Source organism: Homo sapiens, chromosome 12 (genome assembly GCF_000001405.40).
Source record: "Homo sapiens chromosome 12, GRCh38.p14 Primary Assembly".
NCBI classification, from domain to species: Eukaryota; Metazoa; Chordata; class Mammalia; order Primates; family Hominidae; genus Homo; species Homo sapiens.
Genome location: NC_000012.12, coordinates 94,127,183 through 94,148,482, shown reverse-complemented (window position 1 = coordinate 94,148,482; position 21,300 = coordinate 94,127,183). Strand labels below are relative to the sequence as shown.

Genomic DNA, 21,300 nt, shown 5'->3' with positions numbered 1-21,300 from the left:
TCCCCTCCCCTCTTGATTCGGTGAGATAGGGAGGAGGGAGGTCTCGTAATTTGGGTTACTGTGTAGGTGGCCTCTTTCATCTATTCATAACAAAGCTCAGCCGCCCGCCGCGGCCGCCGCGGCCGCCACCATCGCCCCCTTGGCTCGCCTGGGGCTCCCGGGGCGCGCTAACGGCGCACGGAGCGGGCTCCCGCGCCCGTCCGCCCGCGGTGCTGCTCCAACGCCCGGTTTTGTTTACGACAGCAGCCGGGTCGGGGATACGCCAGGCGCGCGGAGCGAGGATCCAGGGTGCGAAGGGGTTGCAGCTGAGGCCCCGGGCTCGGGCCACAGGGCTGCTGCGAGAGCGGCTGACAGGTGTGGAGCGGCGAGAGGGAGGCCCCGGGGAGGCGCGCGGGAGACATGGCCGAGCCGGAGACTCCGGGGACCAAGGCGCCCCTGTGACAGGGTGTGGGTTTCCCCGGGTCGGATGAGTGAGGTGGCAGAAAGGCAGGCGCCACACTCTCGTTCTGGACAATCCCCAGGGCCGGAGCGCCCATATTTGCAAAGGTTCTCTAATCTCCCTTGGCAACAGAGTCCCAGGCTCTCAAGCCTAGCACTTGGAAAGTTCTGCTCACCATCTAACCTAATGAGCGGGGCTAACATTTACTGAGCACTTACTACGTGCCGGGTGCGCTTGTGAACTCACCACATGGGTTAAGACTCATAATTCTCATAACAGCCCTATTAATTAGTGACTGTTATTGTCATCCCTACTTAGTAGTCCAGGAGAATGGTTATAGAAAGGTTGTGGAACGTGCTGGCATTCTACTGCTGGTAGATATCAGAGCCGAGATTCGAATCCATATCTAGCCCCAGGGCCTCTTACATACCTGGCTCTAGTTAAGTGCCACCTGTGGCCATTGCCATAATCCCCCAGAGATCATTCTCTGTAGTGAGACTGAAAAGTTCCTCAAGTTAAATGCACCAACCAGCCCCCGCCCTGCTTTCTACTATTAGACCCAAGTCCCCGTATTTCCCTCGAGGCTCTCCATCTGTCTCATCATTACCCACTTTTATCCTTTGGACCCCCTGAGGTCTCACCACCTCACCCAGAGGGTGAATAACAGCTGGGTTGCCCCCACAGCCGCCAAGAATTTCTGAAGCACAGGGAATCATTGCCCACTGGGGAATAGGTTCATGATTTCTCGGAATGGGGCTTCCCAGAGGATGCACAAATGCCTCCCAGCTTCCCGGGGCAGCTGCGGGCACCATCAGCACCCTTACAGTCTGGCAGATGAGCCAGGGGGTGCATAGGAGTGGAGGGTGCTGAGGACCTCTATGGATCGTTGGGAAATGATCTCTGTTCCTTCCCAGGCTATTTCCAGACCCCAGGCCCCAGGGAGGGCAATTGGCTGCTATCCCCTTTCTTCCTTCCCTCCAAGTTCCCCAGCTCGAGATGCTGTTTTGGGAAGGGAAAGGAATGAGGTGGCTTTTGTCCCATGCTGAGTCCTGCCGAAGGTTGCAGGTTTCAAACTTCTCCAACAGTGCTTCAAGTTCTCCCCAGTGCTGAGGGATATGGCAGGAGTTCTGGAAGGCTTAAGGAAAGAAGGGTGAGGTGGAGGGAGAAGAAGAGAAGTGTGAGTTTCTGCTCTAGATGTGAAGTTCAAGGATCCTATCATTTCAGCAGTGGCTCTCATACACTAAAGTCAGAGTGGTCATCTTTTCATTCATAAGCCTTTCATTTGCAATTGGATAACATTATCTTTGCCTGGCAGGAGGCAGAAAATGCCTTCCCACGAGATATGAGGTTGCCCTTTGTGCTGTGATGATGGTGTTGGAGTGTCCATAAGGAGAGGGGAGGAAGAAGGGGAAAGGCCTAAAGTACCCAGTTGGTGTTAATCGGGACATCTCAGGCAAGACAAGTCAGATGTTTCACCTGCTCCAAAATATCTGGCCTTGCTCCCCCACTCCCTGCCCTCCTGGAATGCTTTCAGAATTTTTGCACCTCTGGAAGTGGGAAGATCAATATTTTAAAAACCTCATCCGAAGCTCAGAGACCCCCTCCACAGCATAGTAGGGGATTTATGCGCTGGTGTTTTGACAGTTTTCCCTGTGACTGATGCAGAACTCAGTGACCTTCACTGGCTCCGTGAACCAGCGGTGGCAGTGTCGCTATGTGCTGAGAAGCAACAGTTCAATTCCATTCCAGAGATAGTTTTACTTCACTGGTAACCAAGTCATTTCTCTAAGTCCCGTAGAGTTGGTACAATCAGTCACAGACCATCTTGGGAGCTATTTGGATTAAACATACTCTGTGGTGCGGCATTTTGATCACTACTCAGTTCATTGCTGCTTCATTTTGAAAAAGAAACAACATCTTAAAAATACTACCCACAAGAAGTATAAATGGCTTTGATGGCTACAGTTCCCTGCCATTCTACTGGGACCATAAGCCCCACTCTTAAGAGTGGGCTTCTTTTGCCTCCCATTTAATTGTATGCAGACTCCTACGGTGAAAGAAATCAGAATCTGTGCTAACTTTTTGGCATGAAAAACGTAGGCGACGAGGAAGCATATAAATGCATTCTTTGCTGATTCTACCCCCATTTTGTACAAACATGTTTGCCCCTTCCCAATTTTCTTGTGTACTAAAGCTCCACCTTCAGGACACAAGTTCACATTTGAAAAGTGTGGGAAATACGAACAACTGAAATAAATATTTAGGCATGCGGGTTCTGTATCTCTTTGATCACTTTCTCTTGGACACCACCGTCTGGCCCAGGGGTGCAAGTCCCTTTGGTGACAAAGCTTCCCTCTCCAACTGGCCGAGCCCATCTTGTTGGGTGTCACTTATAGCACATTTCGGAACTCCTTGTAACACAACTGGCTGAAACCCAAAAAAAAAAAAAAAAAAAAGAAGATGGTGCAGATTTATCCTCCAGACAGAGGCCTGCTACCACGGAAACAGGCAGTTCAGACCGATTCTGAGCAGTTTTATTTGCAGCGTTCACTAGATGGGAAAGTCTTCATAATGAGAAAATATCAAGTCCCTCAGGCACCGAAGGCAATCTGGGTTAACCAGGCCATCCACAATCAGACTCATTTCTGGTGGACAGGACTTTATAGATTCAGTGGTTTCCTGCTGGGGCCCAGGACATTAAGAACTGTTCAGTAGGCAATTGGTCACAGTCACAAGATGGCTATCATTGGTGCTTCAGTTTTCTTTCTGATTTTCTTTCTTTTTTTTTTTTTTTTTCATCTGACAGTGGTCTGTAGCATGACTTGGCTGGCAGAGATTGAAAGCAACTGAGAATATTTGTTCTGGTGGTCAGTGAATTCTCTCTAAGCCTCATCTACATAGCTACAACCCCCTGTGCAGAATTTGGAAATACCACCCAGTGGGTGGAATAGTACCTGTATTGTCCTCTTAGGTTTTAAGCAGACCACTTCTTCCTCCACAGTTTTGCTGATATCTATGTGGTCTTCCACATCGAGGCCCTTATCAAAGCTCCCAGGCCCTTTTGGTGGCTGACAGGAAAAAGAAATGAGCCAGTCTTCTTTCTAGTCTGCTGATGAGTAGATGGTTGAAAAAAGATTAGAGGAAGAGCTGTTTAATAAGTTCGCATTGGTGCTGAGAGATGAGTTGGACACAGTTCAATCAACATGAAAAGTCTCTCTGACATGGCACAGTTAAGACGTGGCTGAAGGAACTCAGTGCCTCATCCTCTCTGCCCACCCAACATGGCCCCAGACGATTGCTGGGCATTCTTATGCTTGGTGATAGTGCCCCCATGCCATGGTTTAAAGTGAGGAAGGCTTGTGGTGTTCCTTCAGTAGGTGGGACTTGGGGGTCACTCCCAACATTACAGTTGTCATCTTTTTCTTTGTCATGATTTAATAGCTCATGGTCATTCGCCAGCAGAGTGCAAATGTACACTGGAGGGTGGAGTGGAACGTACAAGAAAATGACTCTTTACTCAAAGTCCAATGACTGTCTTTAAGCTAAATAAGAGCATTCACTCTGCTTTAGGGAGGGATGAGCTATTGCCTAAAAAGACATAACATAGCATAGCATAGCATAGCATAGCATAGCATAGCATAGCATAGCATAGCATAGCATAGCATAGCATAGCATAGCATGCCATAGCATAATATAATGTCAGATATGTTTAAGAGACTGCGAAGTCTAGGACATCACCTTAGCATTCTAGCACCACACTTCTCAGAGAGTATGTTTAGTGTCATGAAGTTTCTCTCGAGCCTTTTCTCCAAAACATTCACCAAAACCATCAGTGGTTAAGAATCTGAGACAATTACTGGTTGAAAGCAAAGTATGGTAAATCATCAACCATCACAGTGTTTTTCTAGACCGGCTGGAGTTCACCCTGCATGAAGTATGCGAACTCATCAGTTAATTACTTCTTCAGATTTGGGGAATCTCTGTAACTTGAGCAGTCTCTTGAAAATCAAGCTTTTCTCTGATATTCACAGGATTCCAGTCTGTCTCTCCTTGTATTTTCCTTGCTGTTCTTCGGAAATAGGAAGCCAAAAGGGCATCAAGGACTAGACACAAAACGCTGATTCCTCTTTAATACAACGTTGTTTCCCGTGTCTTTGCCCTCCCATCACAGCTCTGAGACTCGCTGTCAGCATAATCCTAGGCTCTGAATCCTCTGATAACTGGCAGCTTGGCATAAACCCATTCTAAGAGAAGAGCTGCCAGAAACCAGGCCTTCTTATTAATAATAACTCCAACTCTTGAAATGAATAGCAGAAGATAAGATAAACACGCAGATAACTTCACAGCCACTTGTACTTCCGCTTCCTTGAGATTCTGGTGGGGAGATGCTCTGAGCTGACAATAAAGTTGCTGGACTTCGCAGTGAGCCCTCTAGTGCTCTCCACCAAGCTGGTGTGGCTTCTCATTCTTATGTCCTTGCCACTCCCTAGAAAATAGCCCCACCAAGGTCGGGAGGAAGCAACCAATATCAGCTCTGAGCATGGGCTCTTGCGGTCGGGCAGTTTGGCGTATGGCCCCAGGGTGGGGGCAGCCCCACTCATCACCCATCCTGGGGAAGCCCTGGGAATATGGCAGTCCAAACAGCATCTCTCAGGCACTCATCCCCACGCACAGAATCCCAAATGCAAAGTTCATGGAAGACCGAGTGTTTGCCTCGCTCTCCTGCCCCTATTTTTTTTTTTTTTACAAAGCCTTCATTGAAGTATGACTGTCATACAAAAATCCATACCTATTTATTATATACAACATGTTGTGCTTGGAGATAAGTCTACACCCTTGAAACCATCACCGCAATCTCTTTCACCCCTTCCCTAGTCCTTCCTATTTAGTTCTTCTTCCCCGTCTGTGTTGAATAGTCTCTTCTTCTCCCTGCAGACCATTTCCCCACTGCTCCCCCTTTTGCTTGAGACCCAGAAGTTTGACATTTATGGACATCACCCTTGCCTTTTGGCTTCTCGTTGGATTCAGCCAATGGGAAGCCCCAGCCAGAGATCTAGGGGTGGACAGCTAGGGTGAAGTTTGAATATTTATTCTCCCAGCTCCCTCTCTGCTGATCTATGCATTGGCCATGGCTGTGTCCCTCTACAAGGCCACAGCTCCTGTGGGCTGTCCTCTCTCACAGCTACACTGTAGCCACAGCCTTTCGTGGACCCAGTAACCACTCCCTCACCCTCCTCCTCAGGCCTGTGGGATTCCATGGTTGTCGCTGTGGCTAGCCTCTGCTGGTCTCCCTTCATCCTGGCATGGCTCGGCCATGGTCCCTCAATTAATGTATCTGTTTGCATGTGTCACCTGTTTCCTGCCAGAATCATAACTAACAAACCAATCTACCTCCAAACATGGATCTAGAGGTGACCCCAAATGATGTTTAAACCTGTACATTCACTTTGTCCACTGATGGAAAGCAGAAAGGCTGCTAGTCAAAATGGAACTCCTTTGTTTCCAAATGGTTGGTTCCCCTGAATCTGGCAATGGAAAAAAAGCTACATTTTTATTCCCTTTGCACAGGCTTTCCTACACTAAATTCAACCCGGTGATACAGACAGATGGAAACCTGGCTGGGCAGGATTTTTTTTTTTTTCAGTTAAAACATAAAACTAAAAGAATCTTAAAAGTAAATCAGAACTACTGGGGACTAAGGGTTCAGAAGGTGGTGGGGGCAGAGGGTGGTTATGATCTCTAAAATTCTGCTGAACGTTTGAAATATATTTTCAAACAAGATACAAAACCAAGCATGCCGCTTTTTCCTTTTAAGACATTTCTCCTTAAGTCTGAACTCCAGCTGTCCCTTCAATAAAGTTGAGAAATTCCATTGATATTCATTATTACCAAAGCAGGATTATTAAGAGATTGCTATACTTCCTCATCTCCAGACCTCACCCTATGTCGCCCCCTACTAATAATGAAGAGATAACTTGGATGTTTTTGGTTCCTTTATACTCAAGGAAACCTATGTAGTAGAGACAGGAACCCTCTAAAGATGCTACTTTTTTTTTTAGAAGGTTTTTCTTTTTTAACTTTTAAAACATGTTGAAAAGTAAATCCATGTCTGCATAAGTTCCCAACCCACATTTCTCCAAGCTTCTGGAAGGTGGGCCTGGTGGGCACCCTCAGCTCCTTAGTGTTTCCCAGCTGGCCCCTGAAGACAGAACTTCCCTTCCAGCCTCTGCTGCTGTAAGGCCCCTCTGCCACCTCCCCCTGCAGCCTCCCTTCCCACCTCACCCAAGACTGATTGCTAAAAGAAGGGAAGAGGAATGAGAACAGCCAGCACACCCAACTGTCCTGTCCCACCCCCACGCTAAGGTCCCTACCCCCGACACACAAAGGGCAGGGCCCAGAGACCAAGCCCCAGCCAACTAGGAGGCAGCCATTCCAGTCCCAGCAAGGAAGCGAAAGTGCCCTCAGTCCAGCTCAAAGGCCCCTGAGCCCGGGCCATGGCCCCAAGAGACAGGCCCAGCTGCCAGGAACACATGCAGAACCCACAGGTCCAGGCTGGGCTGTCGGCAGCTCTGGGTCTTGGAAAGACCTGGCAAGAGCCCTAGCCCCTTCCGTCCTCAGTGACACCAGAGATGCCTGGGGATGGCCAGCAAAGAGGTCCTGGAGCCTGTGGTTGGTGGAGGACCTCAGGATTCAGAGTGAGGGCACTGGGGGCTCCAATCAGGGTGGGTAGGGGCGGAGGGCCAGGACAGGCAGCCAGAGCGGGGAGGATGAGAGGTGGTGGGCGCTGGTTGGGGGCCAACCAGGGCTGGAGGAAGCGGCCCTGCTGCACTGTGGGTGGCTGTCAGAGCAGAGTGGGAGCCGTGGGCAAAGGTGGCCTCAGCAGCAGGGGGCACCTAGGGCAGGGAGGTGGGAGGTGGAACGGGGGTGGTGCAGGGGGGCACCGATCGGGACACAGACATGGAGATCGATGTAATCTGGACCTCATGATCTTCTTCTTGGGCTGGGGCTAGCAAGGGAGCCCCTCTCCTAGCCTCCTCCACGGGGACTGTGGCTCCACGGGCCCCATCCTGCTCAGCCTCCCATTCCTGCAGCACCTCCTCCAGATTGAAGCAGTGCCAATAGCTCACAAAGAAGGTCTTCACCTGGGTCAGAGTCTTGTTCCCAATCACCTCTGCAATAGCCCCAAAGTCTGCCATACCTCCGGATGGCTTAGGCAGCCAAAAGCTGCTCCTCTGTGGTCCAGCAGGAGTTGAACTTAGTGTTGGCCTCCAGAGCGCGGAGTGGATCAATGGCGCCCTCCAGGGCTTGGCGCAGGCTGCTGTTCCTCTGCTTTATGCTCTGTACCTCTCTCTTCGGGTGTCCAGCATCGGGCTCTCCTTCACTCAGGCCTCCTCGACTCTCTTCGAACTCATCACTGTCTTCTTTGTCCTTGCAGCCCCTCAGCCGCCGGGCCTGTCTGTCCGTCATGCTAGTTCGGCTGTGGGTTTTCTTCCAAGAGTAGTGATATTTCACCAGGCTGGAAATCAACTTGTCGGGCAGCGTCTGTTGGATCCACACTTGTCGTGGAAGCCAAAGGCCTGTTCCAACAGCACCTTGTCCTCTACTGTCCACTCCTCAGGGAATGGGGTGAAGTTGGCCAGGTCAGCCAGCGACTTCTCCACATGGTGCTTATTCCAGAGCATGCCCAGCGTCTGCTCAATGTTGTAGCCATGCTTCTCCGTGGCCATCACAATATACTTGTCAAGTTTGGCATCTGACACACAGTGGTTGGGTGACCACACCAGCACCCCCTTCAGCTTCTTGTTGCTGTAGCGTGCGAGGCTCTCAGGCTTGCACTCCGGAATTATGGCCTGGTAATTGGTTCCAACGCGGACCATGCTGTCGTGCGAGTGCTCCTCCTCGCTGCTGTCATCCTCAGAGTGGGGCTATCTGCGGTTGGGCACCGTCTTGGCCCGGCTGTGGGACACGCGCTCTCCATCACGGAGGGCATTACCCCGCTCAGCTGCCCCAGGGGGCACGGAAGCCTTTGGAGAGTGACGGTGGTTGCCGCACTCGCCCGGCCCTGCCTGGAGAGTGCAGTGCCCGGCCCGGCCTTGAGAGGTCCCAACGTGCTATCTTCCATCTTGCCCCTGCCCACAAGATGCTACTTTTTTAGAGGGTACTTTATTTTTACCCTGCTATGACTTCTGTACTTTAATCATCTGAACCAGTCAATTTGAAACCTGATTCCCCTCATTTATTGGACATTCTTAATGGTGATTAAATATTTACGCTGTCGGAGGCCTTTTTTTCCCACCGTGAAAGCAGCAAATTTGGAACTTTCAGGAGCTTTAATTGTGAGGACAGGCACACTTATAGTTATAGCCAAATGGTCGAAGATGCATTTCTCATTCTCTTTGATTTGGTGGGAGGAGGAGGAGGCATGGGGATAATGGCGAAAGGACAGCTGTGTAATCCTAGGGGCACGATCCTGGCAAACTGGATTTCTTGCTGACTGAGGACTGGACACAGAACTGTTCTGGGGCCAATTAGAAATAAGCAGAATTGCCCTAAGTCAAGGGCCATTTGTCGTTGTCCTGTAGGACCGTTGGAAGCCCACCCACATGGGTCCCAGAACTCATGGACCTGGGCTCCCACGTATCTCATTCCCAGCCATGAGGGAGGTAAGGTTTGCCTTGCCAGCACTCACAGTCCCTTACGTGCCCAACTGATCCTACCTCGACGGTGGCAATGGTGTTACCCCCAGCCACCCTGGCCCACTGAGCAGTCCGGTGTAATGATTAAGAGCTTGGGCCTCAGTGTGGGCCACCCTGAGAGGCTTAGGTTTGCACAAGGGCACCCAGCCAAGGAGGAAAGAGGAATTAAAACCCAGCCTGTCTTCTGTTTACCAAACCTTGCACCCTGGCTTGGGGCTGGGTGTTCCCAAAGGAAGTGGCACCTTTTTCTTTGTACAAAGACACTGTAGGCCAGCAGTGATCCCAGTCAGGCCTAGGTTCCAGACCCAGTCCCACCACTCAATAACTACGTAGGCTTGGGCTCTCTGACCCTCAGCATCCTCATCGTGGGTTGGAAAAATTGCATCCATCACATGGGATTTTCATGCGTATTAAATGAGATAATATGTGTAAAGCATTTAGCACAATGCCTGGCACACAGGAAGTCGCTCCATAAATAAAAAACGTTATTATTATGATTACCATTATTATTATCAGGACTCTAGTGCTGTGTTAGGAGCACTATTAGTATTAGGAGTTTGCTAGGACTGCCATAACAAAGTATCACAGACTGGGTGGCAGTGTATTTCCTCACAGATCTGGATGCTGGAAGTCCAAGATCAAGGTTTTGGCAGGGTTGGTTTCTTCTGAGGCCTCTCTCCTTGGCTTGTAGATGGTCATCTTCTCTTGGTATCTTCACATGATCCTTCCTCTGTACATATCTGTGTCCAAATTTCCTCTTATAAGAACACCAGTCAGATTAGATTAGTGTCCACCCTAATGACTTCATTTTACTTCTTTAAAGACCCTACCTCTAAATATAGTTACATCCGAAGCTACTGGGGGATAGGACTTCAACGTATGAATTGGGGAGACGGTGACAATTCAGCCTGTAACACACCTATTTTCCATCTCAAACCCTATCCTTAGGAAAACATTTTAACTGGCATTTCTTGGGCACATGTTTCCGCTCAGTACTGAGCCGATTTACTTCTGTTTCTTCATTTAGTTTTTCCAATAACCTCAAAAGTATTATCACATCATTTTGCAGATAAGCAAACTAAAGTGCAGAGAGCTTAATGACAAGCCAAGGTCCCACAGTACGGTAAGGGCCTTGAACCCCTTCTTCTGGCCAAGTCCATGGCTTCTACATCAGGTTTGCTGATGGATTCTCACCATATGATATTAGTGGCTGATAACACTTAATCTGTTACCCTCCCTGGTTGTTCTGTTGCAGTGGTGGCTGGTGGCCAGCCAGCCACAGCAGAGCAAACACTCTGTTCTCATAGTCTCTTCCTCCATAAAGGTTTTCCTCACTTCCCATTGCTGTGTTCTCACTGGATGTCTCTGCCTTTTCATTTCTCACCTGTTGCACTATCCTGCCAACCCCCTTATGTTCACAATTCATTTACCTACCTCTTGGTCCTACTGGCTTGAGTTTCATGAAGGTTAAGAGGGGATGCCACTAGTGTTAAGAGTGGATGTGGGTGTTAGGTACATCAGAACCAGCAGGAACAGGGGAATGGCAACATCTGCAATCAAGTCTACATTTGTAATTGGTGGATGAGCGGCTCAGAGTCATCTCGGGATATCAAGAAGATACATGCCCAGGTGTGGTGGCTCACGCCTGTAATCCCAGCACTTTGGGAGGCCAAGGTGGGCAGATCACCTGAGGTCAGGAGTTCCAGACCAGCCTGGCCAACATTGTGAAACCCCATCTCTACTAAAAATACAAAAATTAGTCAGGCGTGGTGGTGGGCGCCTGTAATCCCAGCTACTCGGGAGGCTGAGGCAGGAGAATTGCTTGAACCTGGGAAGCAGAGGTTGCAGTGAGCTGAGATCATACCACCGCACTCCAGCCTGGGTGACAGAGTGAGACTGTCTTAAAAAAAAAAAAAAAGAAGAAGAAGAAGATACACAGATCTGTGATTTCCAAATGGCATAAAGAATAGGTCAGAAAAGTAACAACAGGAGGAGGGAGTGGAAGGGTTTTCAAGAAATGCAAGAAAGCCAGGGAGAGCAGCAGATTCAGTGGCAGGTACTTACAAAGAGGTGAGAAAGTGATCAGGAAAACAAGTTGGTATAAATGTTACAAGCAAATAGAACATATGAAGCAGGATGGCAGATGGCAAAGCTGCCCCTGTGCTTGGGAGTAGTCCTTTTAAGCAAGGGAAGAATCTTTATTAAATATTAAATTTTGGGGTATACTGCTTTAAGAAATTTACCATCGAAAAAACCAGACTTTGAGAATAGGCAAGCATTACTAAAGCTTTATTACTAAATGCTATTTGCTGCCCATTGAATGTGTACCCCATGAATGCTGTGAACTATAAGGATGTGTGTGGATGTGTGTGTGAAATTTGATTAAGGGTCATAGATACAGTACAAAGCAAAGAATGCTAATGGCAGTAGTATTATTAATCTTTTTAGGTAGCAGTATTATTTATCTTTTAAGGTACAAGTCCTATCTTTTCAGCTAGACCTTCAGCCTCTGTGAACAGGCTATGTGTTGTTAACAGTATTAGGATTATGAGATCATTTGATTGCGAATGAAAGGGTATTCAAAAAACATTGCTGGTTGTATGTGAATGAGAGTGACAAAACTAAAACCCAAAAGACAAAATATGATTAATGGAACCACATTTTACCTAGTTGAGGAGAGACTCACAGAAGTGGCACTCAAGGGCCTGTAGGAGGGGTGCAGTTAGCATGAAGGCATGAAAAGAGGGGCCTCGGCTGGGCACGGTGGCTCACGCCTGTAATCCCAGCACGTTGGGAGGCCAAGGCAGGTAGATCACTTGAGATCAGAAGTTCAAGACCAGCCTGGCCAACATGGTGAAACCCCCGTCTCTACTAAAAATACAAAAATTAGCTGGGCATGGTGGCACGCACCTGTAGTCCCAGCTACTCAGGAGGCTGAGGCAGGAGAATTGCTTGAACCCAGGATGTGGAGGTTGTAGTGAGCTGAGATTATGCCACTGCACTCCAGCCTGGGCGACAGAGCGAGAGAGTGAGACTCCATCTCAGAAAAAAATAAAGAGGGACCTCAAAGAAATAGGTAGTGACTGTGAGCACTTTTCTCTGGTTTTGTTGTTAAATAGACTGTGTAGATGAAACAAAACAGGCCATGGTAACAGGCTGGTGGGAAAGGGCCTTCCTGCTGTATGGAGGGTTCTGTGGCCTCAGCACACAAAGTCCAAAGATGTTGCCCATAAACTGGCCCCAGATCCTACCAGCCCAGATAACTCTTTCAGCTTCATACTTGTCCAGCACTTAAAACTTGTGCTCATCTTTGGACTCTTACCATCATTATTGTTAAAAAACAACAAGTATTTATTAGGGGACTTTCATACGTAGGGCCTTATGCTAAGAGCTAGGAATATCCTTGGTACTGTCTCCTGTTGTTAGCAGTGGGATTTTCATGCTTCTTTAAATGAGTCAGGCTCTTTCAAGCCCCTGTGTCCTTGCATTTGCTGTACATTTCACCTAAAACACCCTTTCCATCTTCTCAGCTTTGTGAGCTCTCACTTATCCACTAAGGTCCAGTGTAAAAGCTACTTTCTCCTGGGAGTCTTCCTTGAAATTGTACTAGAGTGCCTCTACTAAACTATAAACTCCCATTTAAAAAATAAAGAAAACTAGAAACTAAGTGCTGTCTCATCTTTGTGCCCCCAGGAACTAGGCCTTGTATACAGTAAGTACCCATTCATTTATTACAAAATAGTGAAGTGTGTCTCCTTCATGCCAGGCTCTGTTCTAGCAGTGTAACTAAACTTACCTGTTGAATTTGTTTAACGGGGCCAATTCCTCCCTTTGGTTATGAATTCCCTGCTCTGAACTTGAAGAGCACTTTATCTGTAGGTTGATAGCATTAAAATCTGGTGAGTCACATCATACACTATGCATTGGTTGTGTTTATAGCTCTTTCACTTAATATAATTTCTTTGAGATCAGAGATGGTGTCTTAAATTCAGTTTATCTCCATATTCCCTTTATTCCTCAAACTTTCTGTTCATTAACTTACTCCATCTTTTAACAGATACTTCCTGAGAATCTACCATGTGCTAGGCATGTGTTGCAGGCTGGGGTTATGGCAATGAGCAAGATCAGTGGTGTTATTTTTGTGCAGATTACTGGGCCTTACACGGAGTCAGTGTTCAATAAATGTCAGTTGAAGTGTAATGTAAAGGCTCTATACTCCTTAGGGGCAAGGGTCATTCTTTGAGGTACCCACAGCCCCACATACAATGACATAACTTGGCATCTCCACAGTGCATATTTACCAATTCATGAATTGACTATCTCTGCAGAGACAGAGAATATAAAAGGAGAAAAACAACTCCTTGCCACAAAAAATATTATTGATAACATGGAGGAGCATCCACTGAACATAGCTTTTAAATTATTTGTTAATTTACAGCACCTTTCAAACTTTGTTTGAACATGGCTTTATACTGAAAAGGGGAGAGTCTTATACTGTAATTATGTAAGGCAAGCTTATAATAATTATAATAATTATCAACCGAGTGCCAATAATACTTTAAGAACTCCACTGAGCATAAAGATCGCACTAGTGCCTAACAGGTATTTAAAATTAAGCTCTCTAAAATTGCAAAGGCACATATTTAGTGTTTTCTATTTTTTGGTAAGTAAAGATTCTGACAAATAATTACCCTCTTTTTCCTGGTAGAAACTTCTGTTTACACGGAAAATTTTCTCTAAGATGGATTTCTTCCAGTGAGAATTTGAGCAATTTATTTTCTTTAACATATCTTGAATGATATTTTCTCTTCTGTTTGAAAAATATGACAACATGCCAGATCTCGGAGCTTCTCCAGAGTAGAGGACACACCCATCAATAGACAAGCAAGTTTTCATGGGTATGTCATTCTAAGCATAGAAAAAGGCAGACTTTGAAGCGCGCTAGGATTCCCCCTAGTGGATGTAAAAGGTACTTGATTTAAGAAAAAAAAAAATCCACACCTGAGGGGAGTTGGTGGGTACTGTGGTTTACAAGGATTCATTCCTCCCTAGCATCTGTTTCTGAAAGTTGGAAGTATGTCACCAATTAATAAAGGTTTGATTAGCACTCCTCTTTCTATCTGGCATCCATAGTAATTAAGGTGTCTGCCTGCAGGCTTGCAAATGCAGCATGAAATTACAGTCAGCCCTAGAACAGAGAAATAAAATGAACACTCTTTAAAACAACACCATCTAATTTCCATAAGACACTCCCCAAATCAAATCCTCATCTGTGACTGTTTTGGTTTAAACGGATATGGTGCCTTTATCCAAATCATGAAAAAGTTTGGCTCTTTTTAGAGACTCTATTATTATCTATGTCAGTGGTGGCCAGCTACTTAAAAAATGTGCTTTTGTGTATTGCCCAAATTAGATTCCTGAGTGTTGGTCTTTGTCATGTCTTTTACAAATCCCCATTACTTATCATGTGTAGTGTCTATGAATTCATTCCATACACACTTGTTGATTATAGGCACAAGGCTAGATACTAGATGGGGGGGATGAAGGACACAGATAAGGATAAGACAAAGATCTTGGCCTCTGAAAAACTGTTAATCTACTCTGACATACCAACTTTCTGTCTCCTTTACTGGCTCCACTTTCTCCTCCTACCTTTTAAAGTGTTGATGTGTAGGTGACCTGATAACTATTTTTATCTGCCCAGAAAGTTTTACCATCCCTGTTCTTCTCATAAAGAGGCTGTACCCTCCTTCCAACAATATGGGGGCATATGACATGGGTCTGGCCAACCCAAGTGCTCCTTAGGTTTGGTCTAAGCATGGGTCATGTGATTCTAGCAAAGTCAACCAGAGTTCTTTCCAGGAATTGTTATAGGGATGGTGGGAGAAAAGAGATTTTTTATGGGGGTGGCTAATCTGGGGCTAGCAGTGACTTTGCTCTCTGCCTAGCAGAAAAGTCCAGTATGAAGTAGGAGAGAGAGCTAGATAGAGAAAGAGATAGAGATAGTGATGAGAGAGAGAGAGAGAGATATGAGAGAGAGAGAGAGAGATATGAGAGAGAGAGAGAGAGAGAGAGAGACAGATAGAGACACAGAGAGAGAGAGAGACTGACTGTTGAGGCTCTCTAGAACTGAGTCCTCAGCTCACTCTTGGTCCTTTGACATCAATCCCTTCTTCTGTCTTTGGCATCCTCTCATTCCTGTAGTATTCTCCCTGGTCAGTATCACCAATGCACACCACGGGCTTCCATCATTACTTACCTGCTGATGACTCTAAAAAATCTACACAAAAGTGATCTCTTGATCTCTGAACTTTAGGCCCTGAATTTTAGATCTACATGTCTAAATGCCTACTGGTCATTTCCCTTGTACATTCCATACATACTTCAAGTCAAGTCAATTTTCTTCCATACCTTTTCTCCACATGTTCCTAGTCTCCTTCGGTGGCACCACTGCCCATCCAGGTTTTCAAACCAGAAGGTGGAAGTCATCCTAGATACTTCCCTCACCTTCTATATTTAATCAACCAGCAAGCCTGCTGATCTGAATCATGGGCTTGATTTCTTGTTATAAGATTTCTTATTTCCTACCAACTACCATCAGAGAATACTATAAACACCTCTATACAAAAAAAAAACTAGAAAATCTAGAAGAAATGGATAAATTCCTGGACACCTACACCCTCCCAAGACTAAACCAGGAAGAAGTTGAATCTCTGAATAGACCAATAACAGGTTCTGAAATTGAGGCAATAATTAATAGTCTACCAACCAAAAAAAGTCCAGGACCAGACAGATTCACAGCCGAATTGTACCAGAGGTACAAAGAGGAGCTGGTACCATTCCTTCTGAAACTATTCCAATCAATAGAAAAAGAGGGAATCCTCCCTAACTCATTTTATGAGGCCAACATCATCCTGATACCAAAGCCTGGTAAAGACACAACAAAAAAAGAGAATTTTAGACCAATATCCCTGATGAACATTGATGCAAAAATCCTCAATAAAATACTGGCAAACTGAATCCAGCAGCACACCAAAAAGCTTATCCACCACGATCAAGTTGGCTTCATCCCTGGGATGCAAGGCTGGTTCAACATATGCAAATCAATAAATGTAACCCGTCATATAAGCAGAACCAAAGACAAAAACCACATGATTATCTCAACAGATGCAGAAAAGGCCTTCGATAAATTCAACTGCCCTTCATGCTAAAAACTCTCAATAAACTAGGTATTGATGGGACGTATCTCAAAATAATAAGAGCTATTTATGACAAACCCACAGCCAATATAATACAGAATGGGCAAAAACTGGAAGCATTCCCTTTGAAAACTGGCACAAGACAGAGATGCCCTCTCTCACCACTCCTATTCAACATAGTGTTGGAAATTCTGGCCAGGGCAATCAGGCAAGAGAAAGAAATAAAGGGTATTCAATTAGGAAAGGAGGAAGTCAAATTGTTCCTGTTTGCAGATGACATGATTGTATATTTAGAAAACCCCATAATCTCAGCCCCAAATCTTCTTAAGCTGATAAGCAATTTCAGCAGTCTCAGGATACAAAATCAATGTGCAAAAATCACAAGCATTCCTATACACCAATAACAGACAAACAGAGAGCCAAATCATGAGTGAACTCCCATTCACAATTGCTTCAAAGAGAATAAAATACCTAGGAATCTGACTTACAAGGGATGTGAAGGACCTCTTCAAGGAGAACTACAAACCACTGCTCAACGAGATAAAAGAGGACACAAACAAATGGAAGAACATTCCATGCTCATGGATAGGAAGAATCAATATTGTGAAAATGGCCATACTGCCCAAGGTAATTTATAGATTCAATGCCATCCCCATCAAGCTACCAATGACTTTCTTCACAGAATTGGAAAAAAATACTTTAAAGTTCATATGGAACCAAAAAAGAGCCCGCATTGCCAAGACAATCCTAAGCCAAAAGAAGAAAGCTGGAGGCATCACACTACTATACTACTTCAAACTATACTACAAGGCTACAGTAACCAAAACAGCATGGTACTGGTACCAAAACAGAGATATAGACCAATGGAACAGATTAGAGCCCCCAGAAATAATAGCACACATCTATAACCATCTGATCTTAGACAAACCTGACAAAAACAAGAAATGGGGAAAGGATTCCCTATTTAATAAATGGTGCTGGGAAAACTGACTAGCCATATGTAGAAAGCTGAAACTGGATCCCTTCCTTACATCTTATACAAAAATTAATTCAAGATGGATTAAAGACTTATATGTTAGACCTAAAACCATAAAAACCATAGAAGAAAACCTAGGCAATACCATTCAGGACATAGGCATGGGCAAGGACTTCATGAATAAAACACCAAAAGCAATGGCAACAAAAGCCAAATAGACAAATGGGATCTAATTAAACTAAAGAGCTTCTGCACAGCAAAAGAAACTACCATCAGAGTGAACAGGCAACCTACAGAATGGGAGAATATTTTTGCAATCTACCCATCTGACAAAGTGCTAATATCCAGAATCTACAAAGAACTTAAACAAATTTACAAGAAAAAATCCCATCAAACAACCCCATCAAAAATTGGGCAAAGGATATGAACAGACACTTCACAAAAGAAGACATTTATGCAGCCAACAGACACAAGAAAGAAATGCTCATCATCACTGGCCATCACAGAAATGCAAATCAAAACCACAATGAGATACCATCTCACAACAGTTAGAATGGTGACCATTAAAAAGTCAGGAAACAACAGGTGCTGGAGAGGATGTGGAGAAACAGGAATGCTTTTACACTGTTGGTGGGACTGTAAACTAGTTTAACCATTGTGGAAGACAGTGTGGCGATCCCTCAAGGATCTAGAACTAGAAATACCATTTGACCCAGCATCCCATTACTAGGCATATACCCAAAGGATTATAAATCATGCTGCTATAAAGACACATGCACACATATGTATATTGCGGCACTATTCACAATAGCAAAGACTTGGAACCAACCCAAATGTCCATCAATGATAGACTGGATTAAGAAAATGTGGGACATATACATCATGGAATATTATGCAGCCATAAAAAGGATGAGTTCATGGACATGGATGAAGCCATAAAAAAGGATGAGTTGTAGGGACATGGATGAAGCTGGAAACCATCATTCTCAGCAAACTATCACAAGGACAGAAAACCAAACATTGTATGTTCTCACTCATAGGTGGGAATTGAACAATGAGAACACTTGGACACAGGGTGGGGAACATCACACACCGGGGCCTGTCGTGGGGTTGGGGAGGGAGGAGGGATAGCATTAGGAGATATACCTAATGTAAATGACGAGTTAACGGGTGCAGCACACCAACATGGCACATGTATACATATGTAACAAACCTACATGTTGTGCACATGTACCCTAGAACTTAAAGTATAATTAAAAAAAAAAGATTTCTTATTTCCCAGATCCTCCCTCCTCTCTCTTTCCTACTCCTTAGCTTGCCCTCTCATCATTTCATCACTAGGCTATTTTAGGTGAGACTGGTGGTCCTGGTCCCAGGTTCATTGCCCACCTCCTCCAACCCAGCCTTTGCATTGCCCTTTCATTGTCTTCCGATATGGAAAGCTGATGGGATTACTTCCTGTTAAAAATCCTTCAATGACTCCCCATTGTTTCCCAATTGTTTTATACCATGGCTTCATTGGGCCCCACTCTTCTTGGCAATACCTTCCTACACCAAACAAGGGCACTGGCTGCCAGAGGTGACCAGCCTAGGAGCTCCCTCTGTCAGGTTCCACCCAGCAGTCCCAAGGGCTGAGAGGGCAGGGTAGTATCTCAACACTCTATGGAACACTTATTGGGAAGCCCTGACTTAGAGGATACAGCTTATATTTCTTAGCTTGATATATAAGGTCCCTGCCTGACCATTTTTGCAATATTGTGTCTTCCATTCCTTCATGTGCACATGTGACTGGGCTCTGGGCTGAGCTAGATGAAGAGTAGCTCCTTGGGGCCAGCTAATCTGAACTCTGGGGATCTATTGGCACAGGCTGATAAGCCTGCAGATGATTGTTGCTGTTTTGGTCTGTCTAAAGGAAGAGGTTGATGCTAGCCTTCTATGGAAAGACACAAAGGAAAGTAGATGAAATTAGTATGCTTACTATTCCTCAGACATTCCTTAATAGAGAGCAGGGGTAGTCAGCAGCTAGAAGGTATACGCTGACCAAAAGTTGATGACATTCAGGGCATTTATCTTGGGGTCCCATTCCATGAATGGAGCTAGACCCATTCACCTTCGGGTCTAGTGGCAGAGTGAAACACAGAGTCAGAGAGAAGGGCTTTCTTACTCTCCTTGCATCAAAGGGAGGATAGAGAGAATCAGGGAAGAAGCTACATTCTCAAAGATATTCCCCTGGGGACTCCCCAAAATGACTGGAGAGATTGAAGGAGGAAGAGGTTGAGTCCTAGAGTTATACAAGTTAGGGATAATCAGGCAGAAAAACTCAGGGGGTATTAGTTGTGACCCCATTGATACCCACTGGGGAGACCTGTGCAAAATAGTTTTCAGAAGCTGTATACATCGGTTGTGATGTGTTTAGCTATAAGGGGAAAAAACCCCTAATTACTTAGAACATAGGCAAGTAGAGGTTAATCTTTTCTTGCACAAGAAGGAGCCCAGTTGCTAGTACTGGTTGCTATTCAGTGTTACTATTAAAGAGCCCCTCCAGGCTTTTAATATCTTTCTCCTGTCACAAGATAACTGCCACAACTGTAAACATTGTATTTGTTTTCAAAACGAGGGGAAGGCTACTTTCTCCTAGCAAGACTCTGTCTTTTTTTTTTGCCCAAACAGAAATCCCTGAGCAGACTTCCCCCTTAGACGTCATTGACCAGAATGTGGTCACATGCCCACACTATACCAATGTCTGGTGAAGAGAAAAAGAATGACCATAATTGGCTCATGATTGGCTCATAAGCCCAAGTCTGGAGGAGGAACTTACCTTCCTTAAGATTATCCCAGATACACAACTAGGTTCTCTTAGCAGGGAAGAAATGAGTGTCCGGTACGTAAAGAATGCTTGTGTATTGTTACATCCTAAAAGAGTCACAGTTCTCTGATGCTGGAATTCTCCCCGTCCCTCTTGCCATTGCCTAAATCCAACCCATGCTTTGGGTTCCCACTCCAGCATCTTCTCTGACTCTCATTTTCATTCTCCAGAAATGACCAGCCCTTTCTGGGTGTCACCGACATACCTAGTCCATATGCCTACACTTGCTCTTGTTACACTCCATCGCGATATGTATTTGTCTAGTGTCCCTGTGACCTCAGAACTCCTTGAAGGAAGTTCATATTATATTCATCTTTGTCTCTAATATCTAGTATGATGCCTGGTACATAGTGTTCAGCATTTGTAGAAGAAATGTTGCGTAATAAAATCCAAATAGACGTAAGAAATCCAATATAGAAAATCATCATGTTAGCACTGACATCTTCAACCATGAAGGACCACTGGGTATGTACCATAGACAGTGATTCAGTTCAGCCACACCTATTTATGGGGGATCTATTGTCTGCCAAGCACCAGGGGCAACACAAGAGAAGGAGAACACAGTTTCTGTGGGAAGACCGTATGCAGAGCAAAGATAACTAACAAACAAAAATAGCATCTGATAAGTGTCTCATTAGAGCTACAGGAGAGCGTGGCGGTGGGGAGACAGAGGACACTGGGACAGTGGTAGAATGGTAATTAAAATCCACAGGTAATTCCAAGCCTTAATTTAATCAACACTTTCAACCTCCACCGGTCCACAACTTCTTAGTGATGTAGGAAAATTGTCAGATTTGAATGTCATTTCCTCGGGGAGCCCTGCCTATCTGTTGGTGCACCTGTGACCCAGTAGTAAAAGAACCACATGGTAAACAGCCAAAGAGGAAACCAGGGAGAAAAGGGGACCTTGATAATTCACAGCTTAGATAGTCAGCTCTTGAATAGCTGAAAGCTGATGCAGTTTTAACCAGCGATTTGAAGATCAAACGATTCCATATTTTACAATTGTACTGCATTTGAGGTTTTTGATAAGATGTGTTATTGGAAAAGAGGTAACTAAAACTGTATGAAAGGCACAGTGAAATGCACTAAATGGATCATTTTCGAGCCCTTCACTGCATGGA

The 21,300-nt window shown here is 45.4% G+C and overlaps 1 pseudogene, besides 2 other annotated features; it reads right to left on the bottom strand.

Annotated features, from left to right (window-relative positions):
- Positions 10-139: a silencer, noted in NCBI's record as "silent region_4720". NCBI's record gives its function as "represses an Ori minimal core promoter by ATAC-STARR-seq in GM12878 lymphoblastoid cells {active_cell/tissue: GM12878}" and the evidence as "EXISTENCE:reporter gene assay evidence [ECO:0000049][PMID:35858748]".
- Positions 6,495-8,547, bottom strand: RCOR2P1 (RCOR2 pseudogene 1; annotated as a pseudogene).
- Positions 13,983-14,032: a silencer, noted in NCBI's record as "silent region_4719". NCBI's record gives its function as "represses an Ori minimal core promoter by ATAC-STARR-seq in GM12878 lymphoblastoid cells {active_cell/tissue: GM12878}" and the evidence as "EXISTENCE:reporter gene assay evidence [ECO:0000049][PMID:35858748]".